The sequence below is a fragment of the Homo sapiens genome, chromosome 1 (genome assembly GCF_000001405.40).
Source record: "Homo sapiens chromosome 1, GRCh38.p14 Primary Assembly".
In the NCBI taxonomy this organism is placed as follows: Eukaryota; Metazoa; Chordata; class Mammalia; order Primates; family Hominidae; genus Homo; species Homo sapiens.
This window is the reverse complement of record NC_000001.11, coordinates 175,131,489-175,150,518: the sequence shown is the minus strand read 5'-3', so window position 1 is coordinate 175,150,518 and position 19,030 is coordinate 175,131,489. Positions and strand designations below refer to the sequence as shown.

The following is a 19,030-nucleotide window of genomic DNA, read 5'->3' as shown; positions in this document are numbered from 1 at the left end:
CTTGATGGCTCATAACCTGGTTCTAAGAAAATTGACTCTCTCTAAAAAGCAGGTCTATCCAGAAACCCATTCCACGGGCCCATATTCAGCTACCAGATTGGAAGTTGTGAGCACTGGTCACGTTAAAATGAGGTTAGGCATGGAAGTTTCAAGTTGGAATGTTTTCCTCAGTCAGACAGAGGCCCTTTGAAAATGAGTTTCTCTCAACTTCCTTCCTGGTCCCCAGTAGAACCTTTGAAGGGTCAGCTGAGGTTTTCTTCACCCGCTCCTTTGTGCACCATGGGTCCTACAGGCAAAATAATGTAAGAAATAGCTCCTGTTTCCCAAAAGTCCTCCTCTTGCCCAGTGGTGGAGAAACCCTGGGGTCAATGAACACAGGGGTGTGTGTTTTGTAATTTGCTACCATCACAGGCTCCTCCAGAGCAAAAAGACCACCGGCGGCTCCCCCACACCACAGCTACTCAGAGTGGACACCACTCCAGCAGCAGCCCTCGGCCCAGACCTACTTAACTAGAGCGTCTGGGGAAGGGACCCCGTGATCTCTGTGTTAACAAGCATGTTCAAAGTTGAGAAGCATTGCCAACAATCACCATCCTTGGCTCGAAGTCAATTTCTGGGATTTAATCCATTTTGCAAAGGAGGCACTTTTCTAAAAACCCTGGATCACTGTGATGAGCCCAAAGCTTCATAATTACGAAGCTGAGTACCCCACATGCAAACGGGGTCACGGAGCAGCAGAAGGGAATTCCAGCCAGGTGCGGCGGCTAGCACCCGTAGTCCCATCTACTTCCCGAGTCAAGGCTGGAGGATCATTTGAAGCCAGGAGTTCAAGACCAGCCTGAGCAATATAGCAAGAGCCTGCTATATATCTATAGATATAGACATAGATATAGATATAGATGATATACATATAGATACAGATATAGATATAGATGATATAGATATAGATAAAGATATAGATATAGATGTATAGTTGGGCATGGTGGCACTCGCCTGCAGTCCCAGCTACTCAGGAGGCTGAGACGGGAGGATTGCTGAGTCCAGGAATTCAAGGCTACAATGAGCTGTGGTCACACATTGCACTCGCCTTTTTTTATTCCCTATATTCTTCCTCACAACACCAGAAATTAAAAGGGAGAGATTTACACTGTTTTCCTCACACAGCCTGGGTGACAATAAGACTCCATTTCTATTAAATAAAACAATTAAAAAACTACAAAAATGTTTTTAAAAGAAGAGAATTTGAGGAGAAGACTTGGAACTGGGAAGTTGTGCAGACAGACCTTTAAGACAGATGAGACCAGCCTGGGTAAGATAGCAAGACTCCATCTCTACAAAAAAGTAAAAAATTAGCTGGGCACAGTAGCATGTGCCTGTAGTCCCAGCTACTCAGGAGGCTGAGGCGGAAGGATTGCTGGAGCCCAGGAGTTCAAGGCTGGAGTTCAAGTCTGCAGTGAGCCTTGATCATGTGAATATACAGCAGCCTGCAAGACAGAGAGAGACCCCATTCAAAAAAAAAAAAAAAGGCAGACAAAGAAATTAGCTCAGGCTCAGGCCCTGATAAAGTTAGATCAAGACTAGGAGAAATTTGGTCAATTTCTGTAAACATCTCCTCCTCAGAGAGGCTTCATAGTCCAACACCATGCAACACCTTCATCTTCTCATCCTACCTTTTCTTCCACGGCATTTCCCACTTCTTGTAACCACACATTTATTTGTTGCTTAATGTCAGCCTCCACCATGAGAATATTAGCACAAGGACAGGAATATGATGTTATGTCCTTGATTAACACCAATGCTTAGAATGGAACTTGGCACATAATAGGGCTTCATCTCTATTCGTTGAATGAGTGAATGTAAACGAATGAATGAATGACAGCACACAAGCTCCATCAATACAAGGATAGTGTCTATCTTGCTCACCTTTGTTTCCCCAGTGCCCAGCACACTGCTTGATACAAAGCAAACAACAAACTCTTGTTGAATCAATTAATAACATGCAAGCACATTTTTTCATCGTCAGCATCAACACTAAAACTGTATTTCACTGAGACCACTCATTATCAGAGCGAGCAGTTACCATGGCATTGCTCAATGTGTGTGTCTGGGGAAGGAAGGCACCAGAGGGGGATGCTGAAGACTTTAAAGGTTGACAGAAACGGTTTCAGGGGTATGGTTTGACATTCACCCAGAGGTTAAAACCTGGAGACATCTAGGCAATAGACTACACCCTCGTCCTGGAGGGGTACGGCAGCTTTTGGAGCATTCGCCTTACTTCCCATTCACTCACTTCTGCATTCTAAATACCATTATTTCCCATCATGCAAATCAGAGTCCACAGCCAACCAAATTCCATTACAATGCACGAATTGTACCTTCACTTGCATGTAGGTTAAATTTAGAATTCAAGTGCACTTACGTGGAGGAAAATAACACATGGCAATTTTTTTTTAAATCAAGTGGTTTATTATTTTTTTTCTTCAATAGGAATTTAAGTTACTTCATTGGTCACTGATTTTGCTACAGAAAACCCTCCAAAGTGATAGAAAATAAGCAAAAAGGATCTGATCTTGCTAACTGTCCGATCAAACAGTAAGACTCACGGTGCTGAGCACTCCCACAAAACCCAGGGCTCCAATAGTGCAGGGCGGGGAAAAGAGGGAGTCTGAGGCCTGGTGGGCATGAATGGGAGTTGCAGAAGAGTCTTTGGGAGGAACCAATTATCAAGACAGTCAAATTATTCAAAGTTGAAATGAGTGAGAATTTATTCACAACATATGCAGCTCTATGGACGCAATTATGCAAATGACTGAAAAGAGGGCACTTAAAAATAGCAGTAAGGCGGCAGCTTTGGTCTCCAGCATGCTGGATACAAGTCAGAACTTAGCTAAACATGAGTCCATCTTAGCCCCTTTTATCCCCTTTATTCTTCCTCATAACACCAGAAATTAAAAGGGGGAGGTTCACACTGTTTTCCTAAAAACCCAATGGGAAAGGAGGTGACAAACGTCCGGTTGTCTCAGCCCTAACCCCTGGGTCATCAGAACTCCTCCTCTGTGCTTCTTTCCAGAGAAAAGATTTGCATTAGCAGAACTTTAAATACATAGATGTAAATTTCCAGAGATTTCCAACTGGTGAAGTGCTGGGTGATTCCTTCTCTTGCCCTAATCCAGTATATATGTTGCTGAAGATAAGCTGAGAAACCTTGCCGTTCCAGTACTGTCTTTCCTACACATACTGTGCAACTACTATTTTGATTTTCAAGACCCTCATAAAGACGGGCAAAAATGCAGGTGAGAGGGAAGGAACCTCCATGGCTTGAAGCTTGGTGACATGATTTGTTCTGCGGGCTATCTGAGCACTCCCAGACCGCAGTGACCACTACCCACCCCGCCCCAAGCTGCCACAGCTGGTGGTGTCTCCTGCGAGGACTGCTCACACGGGCCATCAGAACGTTCGCAGCCTTCCTCTCAGCGTCCGCTTCTTTCTGCCCAGGACAGGCTCCCTGCTGTAGCCATGAGGGCGGATTTTCAACTCCACGTAAGGAATGGAGAATTCATGTCCTTTCCAAGGCTCCCAGTTCACCCCCTACCAAAAAAAAAAAAAAAGCCACATCAAGAAGAGGCTCTTAGGAGGAGGGCAGGGTGGGTTATGGTACAAAGGAATTAATTAATTAATTAATTACCAGTGAAACCACTCCCTCTCTGCTCAGGAGAGAGAAAGAGACGGGGTGATGAGAAGGGAGGGGAGGGCAGGATCCGGACACACGCGCCCTCTGCTGGGCAGCTGGGGTTAGACGGGCTGAGAGGACTTGGACGATTTGGAAGCTGGCGGTCTCTATGGTGGGAGCAAGGGGGTGTGAGCCCGGGAGCTGGGTGAGGCCAGAGCAGCCACAGAGACAACACAGGGGTCAACCGGGCCGGCAATGGGCAAATTATCTTTCCTTCACTCTTTTCCTTTCCAAAAAATTAAAGGCAAAAATAAACATATTAATTGGCCAGTTGTGTAAAATCATTTTCAATTTAGACTGTTTAGATATTAGCTCTGGGGTAACAAATAGCCTGCTGAAAACTAAATTTCATTTTATTTCTTTTGACTGGTGAGCGCAATAATATTTAATTCACTTAATAACCCTGCAACCTGGCCAATAAAAAGCCCAAGTGACCAATTTTATGTATTTTAATTTGTGAGGTAAATAATAAACAAGAAGCTAAATGCCTTGCAGACTGTGAAAAGCGCATTAAACAGATGAATGTCTTTTATTAGCAAATATGGGATGGTTCAGGGCATCCTGGCTGCTCGTTTCCAATATTTGATCTCCTATCCCTGGCTTCCCTGAGTCAGCCCACACGCTGCCACCATGATTCATGGGCCCACCCTCCCCAGCTTCCCTGGGGGCAAATTTCTTCTTCCCTTTGAAAAATCACATAAAGATTGGGAGTCCCGAAGACTGGTCAGGGCCAAAGTAATCAAAATGTACCTGGACTTCGGATGTGCTAATATTTACAGTAATATTGGTACAAGGTGAGTTCTGAAGAGGTGGCTTCCTGGAGGCTTAGGATCAGGGCTGCAGATGGGAAATTAGAAACCTAGGATGGGGACTCAGCGTTTGTGGAGGGGAGAGGATTAATGACGAGCAGAGACAAAGATGCAATTTTCAAGAAACTGTGAGGGAGCAGGTGGGAAGTGCCCCGCAGCTGTCAAAGAGTCAGGATGATGCACTGGGGCAGAGGAGGCTTGAGAAATAGCGGGTGGGACAGTTTCAGGGCAATGTGGGAAGAGGAGCCCTCCTGGACCCCTGGGCCCTGGGCGCACACTCCCAATGTGGAGAGACTGGTCTAGCTCAATGTTCTGGGAAGGTTTTGGGTGAAGTGGATCCAAGAGTAGGTCTGACCTAAGGCACAAAAGACTGTTTTCCTGGTGATCAAAGGACTTGAGACAGCTTTTTTTTTTTTTTTTTTTTTTTGAGACAGGGTCTTGCTCTGCCACCCAGGCTGGAGTGCAGTGGCTTGATCATGGCTCACTGCAGTCTCAACCTCCCAGGCTCAAGTGATCTTCCTGCCTCAGCTTCCCTAGAGGCAGGGACTACAAGTGCACGCCATAATGCCCAGCTAATTTTTGTATCTTTTGTAGAGACAGGGTTTCACGATGTTACCCAGGCTGGTCTCAAATTCCTGGGCACGAGCAATCAGCTCACCTCAGCCTCCCAGAGTGCTGGGATTACAGGCATGAACCACCATGCTCAGCCTAAAGAAATAGCTCTTGTTCAACTAGGAGAACAACTAGAAAGTAGGCAGTGTTTGTTATAAACTGAATGTTTGTGTCTCTTCAAAATTCATGTAGTAAAGCCCTAACCACCCCCCACCAACATGATGGTATGTAGAGGGGGCCTCTGGAAGGTAATTAGGTTTACATGAGACCATGAGGTGGAGCCCTCATGATGGGACATATGCCCCTATATGAAGAAGAGATCAGAGCTCCTTTCTGTCCGCCATGTGAGGACGCACAGCCACAAGCCAGCAAGGTCCACCACCAAGAACCAAATCTGCCAGCAGTCTGATCTTGGACTTCCCAGCCTCCAGAACTGTGAGAAATAAATGTCTGTTGTTTGAGCCACCTGGTCTGTGTTATTTTGTTACAGCAGCTAGAGCTGACAGTGTGTGAACTAGTAAAATGAGACAGCGTGCAGAGCACATCATCTGTCATTACATGGCAGTGGGCAGCCCAAGCTTTTCCCGCACCTTCCCCTAGGCAAGTGTGCAGCTCTGGGAATGCAAAACAAGCAGGGCCATGGCCATCAGGAAGGGAGGCCACGACCTCAAGGCCATGGAGCCTGGAGGAGAAGCTCTACTGCTTTGACTGGAAGCTTCAGAAGGAGAGGGGCTGCCAGACTGGCCTGGAGGGTGTCCATTTGGAAGCTGAATATGGACATACCCTGGGACAGAAAAGACATTCACCTGTCACCTACCTCACTGTGCTTGGTCTCCCCATATCTGCCATTAGGGTTGGCCAAGTGGCAGTTCTTATACCACCAGCCACCATGATGTGTCAGGGCACAGTTGCTGAGTGCGATATCATTGTCTCTGTCAAAAGTTGTAAACTTCCATCCATTGTGGTAAGTAAGAGCATCCCCTGCAGGAGAGAAGAGACGGAGGCGAGAGCCCAGGGTTAGCCACCGAGGAGATGATCAAAAGAGGACCCAGCAGGAAGATCTCTAGGCATGAAAATGCCAAAGATGCAGCCAGTCATGTCACAGGTAGTCACCGCTCTCTCAAAACAGCCCAAATGGGAACATGACACATGGGAACAAGCTGTCTTTCCTGGCCTGTACCCCAACTTCAGGCCTGTTTCTCCAACAGTTCTCATAGCATTTTCACTTGGAAGCTCCACAGTCAGATCAAATATCCAAACATAACAACTCTCCCCAAGTCCCTGACCACACCACACACAAGAGCACCACTCTCCACTCTACCCACTCTGCCTTGGGTCCACCCTTCTCCACACCACCCAGACCTGGAACCTGGAGCCATGTTTGGAAATCCCTTCATACCTCTTCTCAAGCCCTCCCTCTGCAGGTCACTCACATACACCCCTATGTCTCTGCTCCCATGACAGCCACCCTCGGCCTTCTCTCATCCTGGGTCTGTGTTAACAAAACAGCCTTCTCTCTGGCTTCTTGCCTGCCAGCCCCTCTGGAGTTTAGACGTCCATTTTCATCATCTCAGGCCTAACAGTCTACTTCATACCACGTGGAGGTGAATTCCTCTTCCATGCCTTGCAGGCCTGTAGGTTGGTTGTGCCCTATGCACAGTCTTGCATCCCACCATCTCCACCACACACCCTCCACTGTGGACCAGCCCACCTTCCAGGAGATTTCTCTCTGCCCTCATCTGTCCAAATCCCAACCATCCCTTCAAAGCCTAGCTCAAGGCCACTTCTAAAGAAGATTCTCTTTATTGGTCTTCCCATGCACCCTCCTAACACACACACACACACACACCTACACACAAACACTCCTGAACTTCCAGAGCCCTTCTGGAGACACATGTAAAATTCAGTCCTTCATTACATCCCATCTGGAAAACTGCTTTAATTATTTTGCTTATGTATCTCCTGTTTCCCTATCATATTTTTCATCCTTTTACAAGCTTTCTTTTTCTGCTCATAAAAGGCAATAAGGGCCCATATCAATCACAAGCTTCATCAAGCTCTGTTCCTGCAATAAAGATTCTTACATTTATATCTCAGCTCTAAGTTTAGCGATCTTCTTCGCATGTGCATTCTCATCTCACTCTCACAGCAACCCTGTGAAGTGAGCAGGGCAGCTCTTAGTCCCGTGGGGAAACAAATTCAAAAAGGTTAGACTCTAGGAACTTCTTAAGGTCCCACCGTCCACAAACAGCAGAGCTGGGACTCAAATCTCTGTCCTGAGATTCCAAGTCCAGGGTTCTTTCTGAGACACCAATCCACCTATGCCTTCCTTGTTTCAATGGGGGGCTTCTTGCACGCTAGCAAGAGAGAGCTATCTATCAATGGCTCTTCAAGTGGGGTTCCCAGACCAGCAGCATCCACATCCCCTGAGAACTTGTTAGAAATGCAAATGGGCCAGGCACGGTGGCTCACACCTGTAATCCCAGCACTTTGAGAGGCCGAGGCAGGCAGATCATGAGGTCAGGAGTTCAAGACCAGCCTGGCCAATATGGTGAAACGCCGTCTCTACTGAAAATACAAAAATTGGCCTGGCATGGTGGTGCACACCTGTAGTCCCAGCTACTCTGGAGGCTGAGGCAGAAGAATTGCTTGAATCCGGGAGGTGGAGGTTGCAGTGAGCCAAGATCGTGCCACTGCACTCCAGCCTGGGTGACAGAGTGAGTCTCCATCTCAAAAAAAAAAAGAAAAGAAAAAAGAAATGCAAATTATTTGGCCCCAGCCCAGACCTACAGAACCGGAAACTACAGGTTGGGCCCCGGCAACCTATGCCTTGACAAGCCCTTCCGATGATCTGACGCAGGCTACAGTGTGAGAACCTCTGGTCTACAACTTCACTTGTTTTTTAGGGAACATTTACTGAATACCTGCTGTGGAGCAGCACATGCTTGGCTCTGTGAACACAAAAATAAGAAGGTCCTTGCTCTCAAAAACGTTTTTGGAGTGGGTGGGGTGAATATGCAGAGTTGGTAGCATATGTTAAAAGGGAAGGTCCTAATTTGCCCCCTCCAAGTCTGCAATCTCACCAGCAGCTCGTTTATGCCTCACCCAGAAAAAGCAGGAGGATTCTGGGGCCACGGAGGCCACTTCCACGCAAACACAGCAGACAGGTCTGTCTCCAGTAGTTTTCTCCAATCCAAGAAAGGTATATTGTCATGCTAGTCATACACATTTCCGCCTCCCTCTAGACTTTGTACAGAAAGTTAACCACAGCTTGAAATAACGTGCAGTGTCTCCCTTAGTAACCTTCTTTAAATGAGCACAGCTTAGCTAATTTACATAGAAGGTTCCCAGGGCTGCTTTCTAAGAATCTGTGCAGAGGCTCTCTTAAAGACATGTTTGTGATGATCTAAACCTGGGCACTGGGATAAAGAAAGGTAAAGCAGGTTTTCACCCAAATGTGGGAGGTCTTTTTCTGCAGAAGGATTTTCTACCTTCTAGAAACTGAAGCCATCCTAATGTTCAGAGTGTAGAGAGTGAGAATGAGGACTGGAGGGGTTCATGGCAGGCCCATGAAAGGTCTGTGCCCAAACTCAGAGGGGATCAAGTTGGTCACCATCCATCTCATCAAAATGTCCCTCTGAGGCCCACTCTCCCCCTCTAGGATTCACCAGGTTGGGAAAGATGGCCCAGGCAGCTGAACCTTCAAAGATCAGGAGAAGCCATTAACATCGCATCCCCTGTCAGTCACACACAGACACAGTAGTGTGTGTCAGAACCTTGAATGTCTTTTATTTCAGGATTAGGAATGGATGATTACAAATGATTTGTGCCATTTCTAGCTCTCCCTTTCATCCAGGTACCCATTAATTTTTTTTTTCTTTTTCAGGTGCCAGCATTTAAAAATCCATCCCTGGTCCCAACCCACTAAATGCTTCCAGAGCTCCCCAGTCACATTTCCAAATGCCCCCAGGTTGGGATCCATCCCTGGTTGTGTCCCCACTGTGGCCCATGCAGGTGGGACTCGAAATCAGCTGTAAATCATTGGTTAGCCCTAGAATTCATTCTGCACCATTCTGAATGCCTAGCTCTTTATGTTTGCATTATGATCTCTAAATAGATGAATAACATCTTAATGGTGGAGCTCATAAGATAGCCTCCCTGCCCCCACTAGAAGACTCAGAATCAGAAACTAAATTTACACATCATTACCTTGCTGGAATTTGCTTCATGAAGGGAAAATGGACTTTCTGATATAACTTGAGTGGAAGTCAAAAGTTGAGGGCCCACCTGGACAGTCTGAGTGGGGAGCAAGCCTTAAGCCACACATTCCTGCCAGGCTGCATGCATGCCAGTTCTAATCAGAGCTAAAATGAAGATAGAGGCTGGGGAGAGCTGGTGCGTGCAGGGAGGTATCAAAATATTCACCTTCCATTTGAATGCCGTGTCCTCTAAACAGTGCCTCAGCATTCAAGACATGAGTAGCCAGGAGCTTTCTAAATTCTGAAACCCTCCTCATGGACAAATCAGTGTACATAAGGAACGCTAAAACTCCACTAACCCTACCATTGTAATTCAGAATTTAAAAGCGGGAATGATAGTACACATGGGAAGACTAGATCGCTGCCTAAATGCTGTGTGAAAGTCTCCTATTAAAAAATAATTCTATTAAAAAATACATCCTCTACTTGCTGGCACTGTTGGCCTGAACAACCTTAGAACAGGAATTATCCCCTCATTGCAGTTAACATGCAAACAGAGTACCTGGGAGGAGAATTAAATAATTCACCAAACATGTTGACTCCCTTTCAGTCTCTTTCCCATTGGCATCAGTTCATTTGCTGGATCACTTTAACACAGGCTTCAGAAAAGGCAAATGGTAATGGCCAAGGGAAAGGAAATGTGCAGCCCGGGAGGACAGGCCTGAGTGAGGTTCCTGACCAGGAGGCCAGGGAGGGCACTGGGTTTCAGGGAGAGATGTGGGGCACACGGGCCAAAGAAAAACACCCACTTCATATTGTGTCCAGGGAGGGTCCCACGCATGGAGCTTATGTAGACTTCTTTAACCTGAGAAGGAAAGGCTGAGGCTAACCGATGGCCATGATCAAGAGCAGACAACAGGGTACTGGAAACCAAAGAAATGATCAGATGGACTCCATGTGGACTGAAGAGGCCCAAGGGCTCTGGGACAGACTGGAATGTGTGTACTGTATTATACCAAAGGGTTGGAAGAACCTGGAATAAGCTGTCAGGAACATAGTCTGATCTCATTTAGAGATGGGGTGGGAGGATATGGACAGTGTGCTTAGTCACACAAAATAGCATCTTTAAATCCCCTCTTATTCAGTTAATATCCTCATAATCATATGAATGTCCATCTATGTTTCCCAACTGTATTATAACTGCCTTTTTCTATATCTGACTTTCATGTTTTATACAGTCATGCCCTGCATAAGAACATTTCAGTTAACAAGGGACTGCATATACGACAGTGGTCTCATAAGATCACAATAAACCTGAAAATTACCTAGTGACATCACAGCTGTCGTAAGGTTGCAGACCAATGCATCACTCATGTGTTTGTGGTGATTTGGTGTAAACAAACCTACCAGTTATACAAAAGTCTTGCACATACAATTACATACAGTAAATAATACTTGATAATGATAATAAATAATTATGTTACTGGTTTGTGTGAATAATACTATGCTTTTTATTGCTATTTTAGAGTGTATGAGTACTTTACAAAAAAAAATCCTGTAAAACAGCCTCAGGCAGGTCCTTTGGGACGTATTCAAGAAGAAGGCATTGTTATCACAGGAGATGACAGCTCCATGTGTGCTATTGCTCCTGAAGACCTTCCAGCGGGACAAGATGCGGAGGTGGAAGACAGTGATATTGATGATCCTGACCCTGTGCAGGCCTAGGCTAATGTGTGTATTTGTGTCTTAGTTTTTAACACAAAGGTTTAAAAAGTAAAAAATAAAAATAAAAAATGTTTAAATAGAAAAAAAAACTTACAGAATATGGATATAAAGAAAGAAAATATGTTTGTACAGCTGCACAATGTGCTTATGTTTTAAGCGAAGTGTTACTCCAAAGGAGTCAAAAAAATTGAAAAAGATGTTAAAGTTTATAAAGTAAAACAGTTACAATAAGATAAGGTTAATTTTTATTAACGAAGAAAGAACATTTTTAAATAAATTTAGTGTGGCCGAAGGGCAGTGTGCCTAAAGTCTACAGGAGTGCACAGTCCTGTCCTGGGCCTTCACATTCGCTCACCACTCACTGACTCACCCAGAGCAACTTCCAGTCCTGCAAGCTCCATTCATAGTAAGTACCCTTACAGATTGGCCATTTTTTATCTTTTATACCATATTCTCACTGTGCCTTTTCTATGTTTACATATATTTAGATCCATAAGTACTTACCATGGTGTTACAATTGCCTACAATATTTAGTAACATGCCATACAGGTTTGTAGCCTAGTAGCAATAGGCTACACCATATACCTTGGTCTATAGCAGGCTCTGCCATCTAGATTTGTGTAAGTGCATTCTATGATGTTTGCACAATGATGAAATGCTTAACAATGCAGTTCTCAGAATGTATCCCTGTCGTTAAGCAATGCATGACTATGTTATACTTCAAGTACATGTAGCACAGCCTGTCTTCAGCCCGTGGAGACCCAGGACTACTTAGGAAAGAAGTGACAGTATCCAAAGGCAGTGAGGATCTTCTAGCTGCAATGCTTTTTTTTCAAGGATTGTCTTTTCCCTGAAATAATTCTTTGCATACTTTTTCTCACCCAACTCCTACTCAGAATCCTGGAACAGTTTCCCCGTGTCTGTAGCCCAAATGCCTCATACTCTGGTAGGTGCCTACCCCTCCCTCTTTGTCCCCTCCCATGTCACCATGTCACCAAACTCACCTTTCATTCACCCCTATGGAACTTATTTGGGTCTCAGGGACTATAATGTAAGATACTAAACATCCCTAAGATTATGTATATAGAAAAGTCCTGCTAGCAATTTCATTTTTTAAACTCTCCTACTCTGTACCAGGCTCTGAGATAGGCACTGGGAAACAAGAACAAATGCAAAATTCATGTGACTATTTTTTAAATGAAATTATAAGATCTCAAAGAAGGTTTGCATTCATAGTTGGCCACCCAGATCATGGCCCCAGACACTCAGAAGTTCTGTTCACAGTCTTCTGCCATCAGGGGTCCTTGAGTACATGATCTTGAGAAGTCCAGCAAGGCTGTGAGATAAACTCCAGCATTCTTGCCTCTGCTCAGTCCCTACTCACCCTAAAGCCCCCAGGCCTGGAGAGCCCTCTATTTCCTCCCACTTGAGTTTGCCCCTTTTTGCAGATCCAGCTCCCTCCAGTTGCTTCGTACTCCATGTGCCCACCTTCTCCACACTCCTGTAACTGTTTATGTTTCTCACCCCTTATTTGACTCTCTGCAAAAGTTACCTTCTATTTGTATTCACCTATTTACATTTAAGTCTAAGGAGAGAGACCGCCATGTCTTATACAGTCGGTCAGTCTGGCTGGTAACACATTCCTGTGTAAATACACCAAAGTCAAAAACGCAAATGTCAAAACACAGGCAAATGTCAAAACACTTGTTATGGTTTAAAAACCATAAATACCGCTTTTAAAATATTGGTATTAAAACAATGACCACACCTCCCCCTCTTACATAATGTATTTAATTTACTGGTATCATTCCAGCATTTCAGTCATGTTGCTTAATTTTGCTCTTTTCCCTCACAACCAAACACACCAGCAACTGGCTTAGCTCCAATGAGCAGCTACTAGAGGCTAAAGGTTCCTTCACTTTCCACTGAACTGCTCATTTCTGTGTTGTCACAGTTGAATTAAATTAATGAGACCTATACTTCTTATTATTTGAATCAGCACTTTCCTTATTCTGTTTTTATAGCAAAGTGCCACCAAAAGCTCAAATAATCACACACACACACACACACACACACACACTACTGTGCAGACAAAGATGACAGCCACACTGCTAAAGCCGAATGAAAGACTGACAAGCATCAAGAAATTGTTCAGAATATGGGCTCATCAGCTAATGTACAACAGCCTGAATAAGAGGAGTACAAGGGGAGGGTTTTTATTGGGGTGGGGGGATGACATATAACATACAAAATTCCAATTTTATGGTGGTCAAGGATTGCTTCAACTATTTGTTCACTCCTGACCCCCTGCAGAGAGTAGGACCTCCACTGTCAATGAGAACAATTCACCTCCACAGAATAATATTCCATCCCCCAGATCAGTGGCACACGGCAAACCAATCCTTACACAACAGACAGCAAGAGACCTTCGCAGTAAGAAAACATTTTTTCTCACCTGCCGTGCCTCTGTATTTCCCAACTGTCAGCTTATACCGCTCCTTGCTGGAGGCCACTTGGAAGAAATCATATATAGCATAGGCAGATTCATTGGCAGTCTGTAAATCCACTCTCACCTCATACCGCGCTGGAGTGCCGGTGGTGAGGTTGTGTAGCTTGTCAAGTCCTAAAAATAAAAAACGGAATTCCAATAATCAATCAACCCATGTGTGCGAGTAAGCACTCAACATGTGTGTCTGAGGCTTTCAGAACCTAAAGTCACTTTAGTCTTTACCTTCTCTGCTAATAAGGGGCAGTCTCAGCACTTTCTCTTTTGGGGGCTCATAGTCACACTAAGGAGTGCGAAGACCACATTCTATGGAAGGGAGCAGTGAAGGGGGCAGGGTAACCCCAGAAGGAATCTGCCTCCATTGGCTCCATCCTTCTAAAACAGAAGCAGTTGTATTTATCATCCATTTATCTCACCAAGTAGGAGAGCAGGTCAACGACTCATCCTAAGATCCCCAAAGAGATTTTACACTGAGCAAACCACAAATATCATCTACTTTATTAGACACTGGGTATCTGAACTATGACTTTTTAATTCTTCATTTCCCAATTCATGCTTTTGGCTATTTCACTGTCTGTGAACATCTGCTCCAGAGGAGAGCAGAGGGAAAAGGGGGAAAAAATTGCTCATAATGCCTGGCATCACGAACAGAATTTTAGAGACTGCTAGAGTGACCTCCCAGTAATGGACCAGCATCCCAATCACTGAACTTTTTTTCTACTACTGTGGCTTCTAAGATCTTCAGGCTGCAGGCAGATCCTGCAGAGCTTAAATCAGCATAAAACCCCTGTGACCACCCTACCTTTCAACAAGTTCAGAGTGCAAGACAGCCTTCCCATCAACATGCCCACCAACACCCTGCTCGGCACAGTCCTCTGTCTCCCTGCCACTGGGGCCTCTCTGTGAAGGTGGTGAGCTTCCCTAAGCCTCCTAGCTAGCTTGTCCTGGGAGAAATCACCCCCCACAGCCCCAGCCTCCTGGATTCTGAGATCATACCAAGCCAGAACTCCTTCATGGGGTCCCCAAAGCCTTCCACATAGCTCCTCCATCGCTTGAAGAAATCCAGCTGCCCAGTGTTCCGCCTCTGGAAGACCTGAGAAGGAAGATGAATACTTCACTCTGACCCTCCAAACAGACATAGGTGCTGGGAGACAAGAGAAGACCAAGAGCTTGCTCATACACTGCCTTCCTCCAGCTAGCAAGCCTTTCATTCTAGAGAGGCTTTTTATTTATATGTCAGTAGATTCACTATATTAATAAGCATTCTTTATATGTACCGTAGTATGCCAGGTACTAAGACATGTAGAGCAAAAGCAGAGAAGGTTCCTGCCCTCAAGAAATTTCAATTCTTTCCATTAGTTGTGTGATTCAGTTGCTAGTGTGGGTTGTCTAGGGCAAGATATTCCAGACCTCTGCTAACTCTCACATGTAACTTTCAACACCCATTCAACTCAATTGGGGCACATCATGTTTATGGCATCTTTTTTCCCCTTTTCTGAAATAGTTTGAGGGTAGGAATTATTTTTTAATTCACCTGATTCTTAATATAGCGATTATTTAATACTTATGGAGAAAAAAGTTCACACAACAAATATTTACTGAGCATCTACTATGTACTAGGCAATATGCAAGATAGTGTGCAAAGTGAATAAATCAGAAATAGTCCCTGCCCTCCTGGAACTAATAGTTCAGTAAATAAAATTACTAAATTAAATAATTTTTAAATGCAGTTAAAACTGTGATAAGGGCTATGAGGGAAAGATGCAACAGAACTGTAAGAGCATAAAACAGGAGGACCTGACCAAGGAGCCAAGAAACCACCCCCAGGACATGGCTGAGCTGCAGGATGAGTAGGAGTGGTCAGGCAAGAGCACGGGGGTGAATGTTGGGGCTTCTGGGGGCTGAGGAAGGGATGGAAAGGGAGGCTGAGAAGATGGCAAGAGTCAGTCCTGGTGAGCCTTTAAAAGGGATTGTTGAAGACGTTGGTCCAGGTAAGAGCGCTGGAAATTATTGCAGAGTTTTAAGCAGGAAATGAGATCCAATCAGATTCGTCTCTAGCTTGTAGTGTATGGAATGGACTGGTCAGGGGCAAGAGTGGAAGTGAGATGACCAATTAGGAGACCACTGTAGAGTGCAGATGAAGGGGGACAGTAGCTTGGATGAGGAATGCCCTGAGAATAGATGGAAGTGCATAGAAGGTAAAGTTGACAGAGGTGGTGACAGAATGTGGAACTGAAAGAGGAGGAAGTCAAGGTAAGATAAGTTTCTTATAGTATGGGCTTGCAGATGACTCTTCTCTCAGCTATTCACTGAGATGGGGGATTCAGAGAGGACAGGTGGTAGTTTATTGTTATTTATTTATTTTTGTTGTTGTTGTTGTTTGTTTGTTTTTTGAGATGGAGTCTCACTCTGTTGCCCAGGCTGGAGTGCAGTGGTGTGATCTTGGCTTACTGCAACCTCCGCCTCCCGGGTTCAAGCGACTCTCCTGCCTCAGCCTCCCAAGTAGCTGGGATTACAGGCACACACCACCATGCCCGGCTAATTTTTGTATTTTCAGTAGAGACGGGGTTTCACCATATTGGCCAGACTGGTCTTGAACTCCTGACTTCGTGATCCACCCACCTCAGCCTCCCAAAGTGCAGGTGTGAGCCACTGCGCCTGGCCAAGTACAGGTTTTATGAATGGGTCATGAGCTCATTTGGGGATGTGGTTAAGTGTGAGTTATTTCTGAGGTGTGCTAGTGAATGAAAATACCACAGAGCAATTGGATGTAAGGGCTGGAGTTCTAAAGAGAGGTCTATGCTAGACTTATTAAGGTAGAGTGTGTCTCAGGCAATGCTAGGAGTTCACTGAGTCTCAGTTCACTTTCCTCTTCCCAGGAACACAGGAGGAGGATGTCCATTTACAGCTTCCCTTGCATTTAAGTTGGAGCCATGTGACTGTTTGCAGCCAAAAGGCTGTAGGTGGGAGCCTTTTGTGTGTGGGTGGGTTCTCCACACTCTCTCTTCTACTGCCATGCACCATGGGGCCATGGGAAAGGCCACACACTGAAACAGCAGAACTACAAGCTGGAAACAGCCTGAATCCCTGAGTCACACTTATATCTGGCTGCCAAACCTGCACAACACATTGCACATATAAGAAAAATACACTGTGTTTGTTCAGTCGCTGGAATTTGGAGCCCATTCTATCCTAATTAGTACAGAGAAGCATGGGACCCAGAGGAGGGTAAAATGAAGTCATGGGAAAAGCTGAGATCACGTAGGAAGAAAATGGGAACTGAAAAGATAAAGTGGCCTAGAATCAAGCCTTGAGGACATCCAATATGTATAATGAAGAAGGACGAATCCATTAAGGAGAGAGAAGGGGCAACAGAAGTGGAGAAAAAGAAACTAGAAAAATATGGAATCACAAAAGCCACAAAGAGAAAGGTGTGGTCAATAGTGTCAAGTACTGATGAGAGCTCAAGGAACAGGAGGCCAAAACCATCCCTAGAATTTAGTGGCACAGAAATCACTGGTGATTTTAGCAAGGGCTGTGTCAGTGTGAGATATGGACAGAAGCCAAACTGGAACGGGCCAAAGAATGAGTGAGAAGCAAGAAAATGGAGGCAGAGTTGGGTGCCATTCACCAAAGTGTGGACTGCCTTCTTTTCAAAAATTCCACTGTTTGGAGAAGGAAGGCAGTTCCAGTCACAGTAAATTGGATTCTTTTATAGGAAGTAAATCTGAAAAGTACCCACACACACCTGTATACACTATTGGAATTGATAATACATCTAATTCCACATGACCTTGAGAGCCAAGCTGAATGCCATCCTAGCTAACCTCAGGAATGATTCCCACTAACCAAAGGCTAGAATTGCATTTCTCTCTCTGCCTATTTTTCTTTGCATTCATTCAGATGCAGAAGCCCCAACACAAAATCTAATCTCCCTCCTTTCCACTAGACTTCACAGCATGTGCCTTGAAGTAAAACACATTATCTTGAATTTATAAGGTAAACCACCTGATATTTGTGCCTTCTTTATATTTTTCTCCGGGAAGAGAGAGTAGGTTACCCTGCAGCAATGCTGAAAGCTCCACATGGGAGTGCATATTTAACTCCTTCCAAAGCACCCATTCATGTCTGCTGGCCAAGGAGTGGGGCACCATGGATGCAGAAGGCTCCAGACTCCAAGTCAGACCACAGCCACTTCCTGGGCAGGGGATGGGTGGGGATTGCTGAGGCAGCCTCTTCTATTGCTGACCCTCAGCCAGCTCATGGTAAAACAGGAATGGAAGGGAAGAGAAGAGCCTACTTCATAAGACTTCTGGGAGGACTAAATGAGACACCACATAAAAATGTTCTATAAATAGGCAAGAGCTACTGAACAGAATGTAGGAAATATCACGGCAAACAGCTAACACCACATTAACATTGTTGTTCTCTTTCCCCTTTGCTCAAGTATCCATCTTTTAAAAATGCCCTATTTCCTTCTTGGCTTCCCTCACTTTTCTTCACTCATTTATTCACTTAGACGACAATCATTTCGTGAGTGCTGGCCCTGGAGCAAGTATTTATGATGCCATTTGACAGATGTGAAAGTCCAGAAAAGCGAGTATCCAGAGTCCTACAGCTAATCACTGATACAAAGACCACGCATAAATCTTATCTTTCTGTCAGAAAGTTTGAAAATACCAGCCCTACTGAATCTGTTTCCCAAATCGAATTTTCAAAGACTCTGAGAACTTGCTAATTTCCTAGCAAGGTGCCTGGTCCAACCCCTTCCTTGGGACTCTTGTTGTACCAAGGACAGTGGAATTTTAGGATACATGTAGCACCGATGTATGGCTCCACATACATCGTGTCAAATCACGTTCCCACCACAAGGTCAGGCTCAAATCCAACCCTGCCCCCCTAGAATGCATTACAAAGGTATTTGGTCTCTATCTCCTATCAGTGAACCCAGTGCCCAAGCTTGATAGGAGCTTTCCAGCGATGTGTGTGTGTGTGTGTGTGTGTGTGTGTGTGTGTGTGTAATAATACTTCATCTGGGCCAGGGAAGCTTCCAAAAATGATTCTGGTGCTCTTTGCATCACTGTTTTGAACCAGAACCAGTTCTATACTTACTAGTTGTGTCTTTGGGCAACCTTGACAAGCCTCACTTTTCTAAACTGTTAGATTAAGATGTTAACAGCCTCTCCGTCACGATCTTAAATCAAGGCTTCGGCAAGATCATTAATCATAGTAAATCATAAAGTAGTTAAGCCAGACCCTGGCATATATAGATATAATAAGTTATTATGATCTCTCAATAAATGTTAGTTTGCATTTTATTATATCAGTTTCCAAATGAACTGACCCACAGGGATCATTTATACATCTTGATCAGGCAGCCTTAATTGACTCACTCAGAGTCTAATCCACTCCCATTCTATGAGATGAAAACACCCTATAATGAACTATT

The 19,030-nt window shown here is 44.7% G+C and overlaps 1 protein-coding gene across 3 annotated transcripts in view; it reads right to left on the bottom strand.

The window, feature by feature from the left end:
* Window positions 1-2,443: 2,443 nt before the first annotated feature.
* Window positions 2,444-19,030, bottom strand: part of TNN (tenascin N) — an 80,243-nt gene continuing 63,656 nt past the window's right edge. For all 3 annotated transcript variants that reach the window (NM_022093.2, XM_017002048.2, XM_017002049.2), the window contains 4 exons: window positions 14,578-14,674; window positions 13,531-13,698; window positions 5,969-6,132; window positions 2,444-3,588 (listed from right to left, as the gene is read on the bottom strand). In NM_022093.2, the coding sequence (NP_071376.1) occupies window positions 3,448-3,588; window positions 5,969-6,132; window positions 13,531-13,698; window positions 14,578-14,674 (570 nt within the window). In that variant the 3' untranslated portion in view covers window positions 2,444-3,447. The remainder of the gene's footprint in view (window positions 3,589-5,968; window positions 6,133-13,530; window positions 13,699-14,577; window positions 14,675-19,030) is intronic.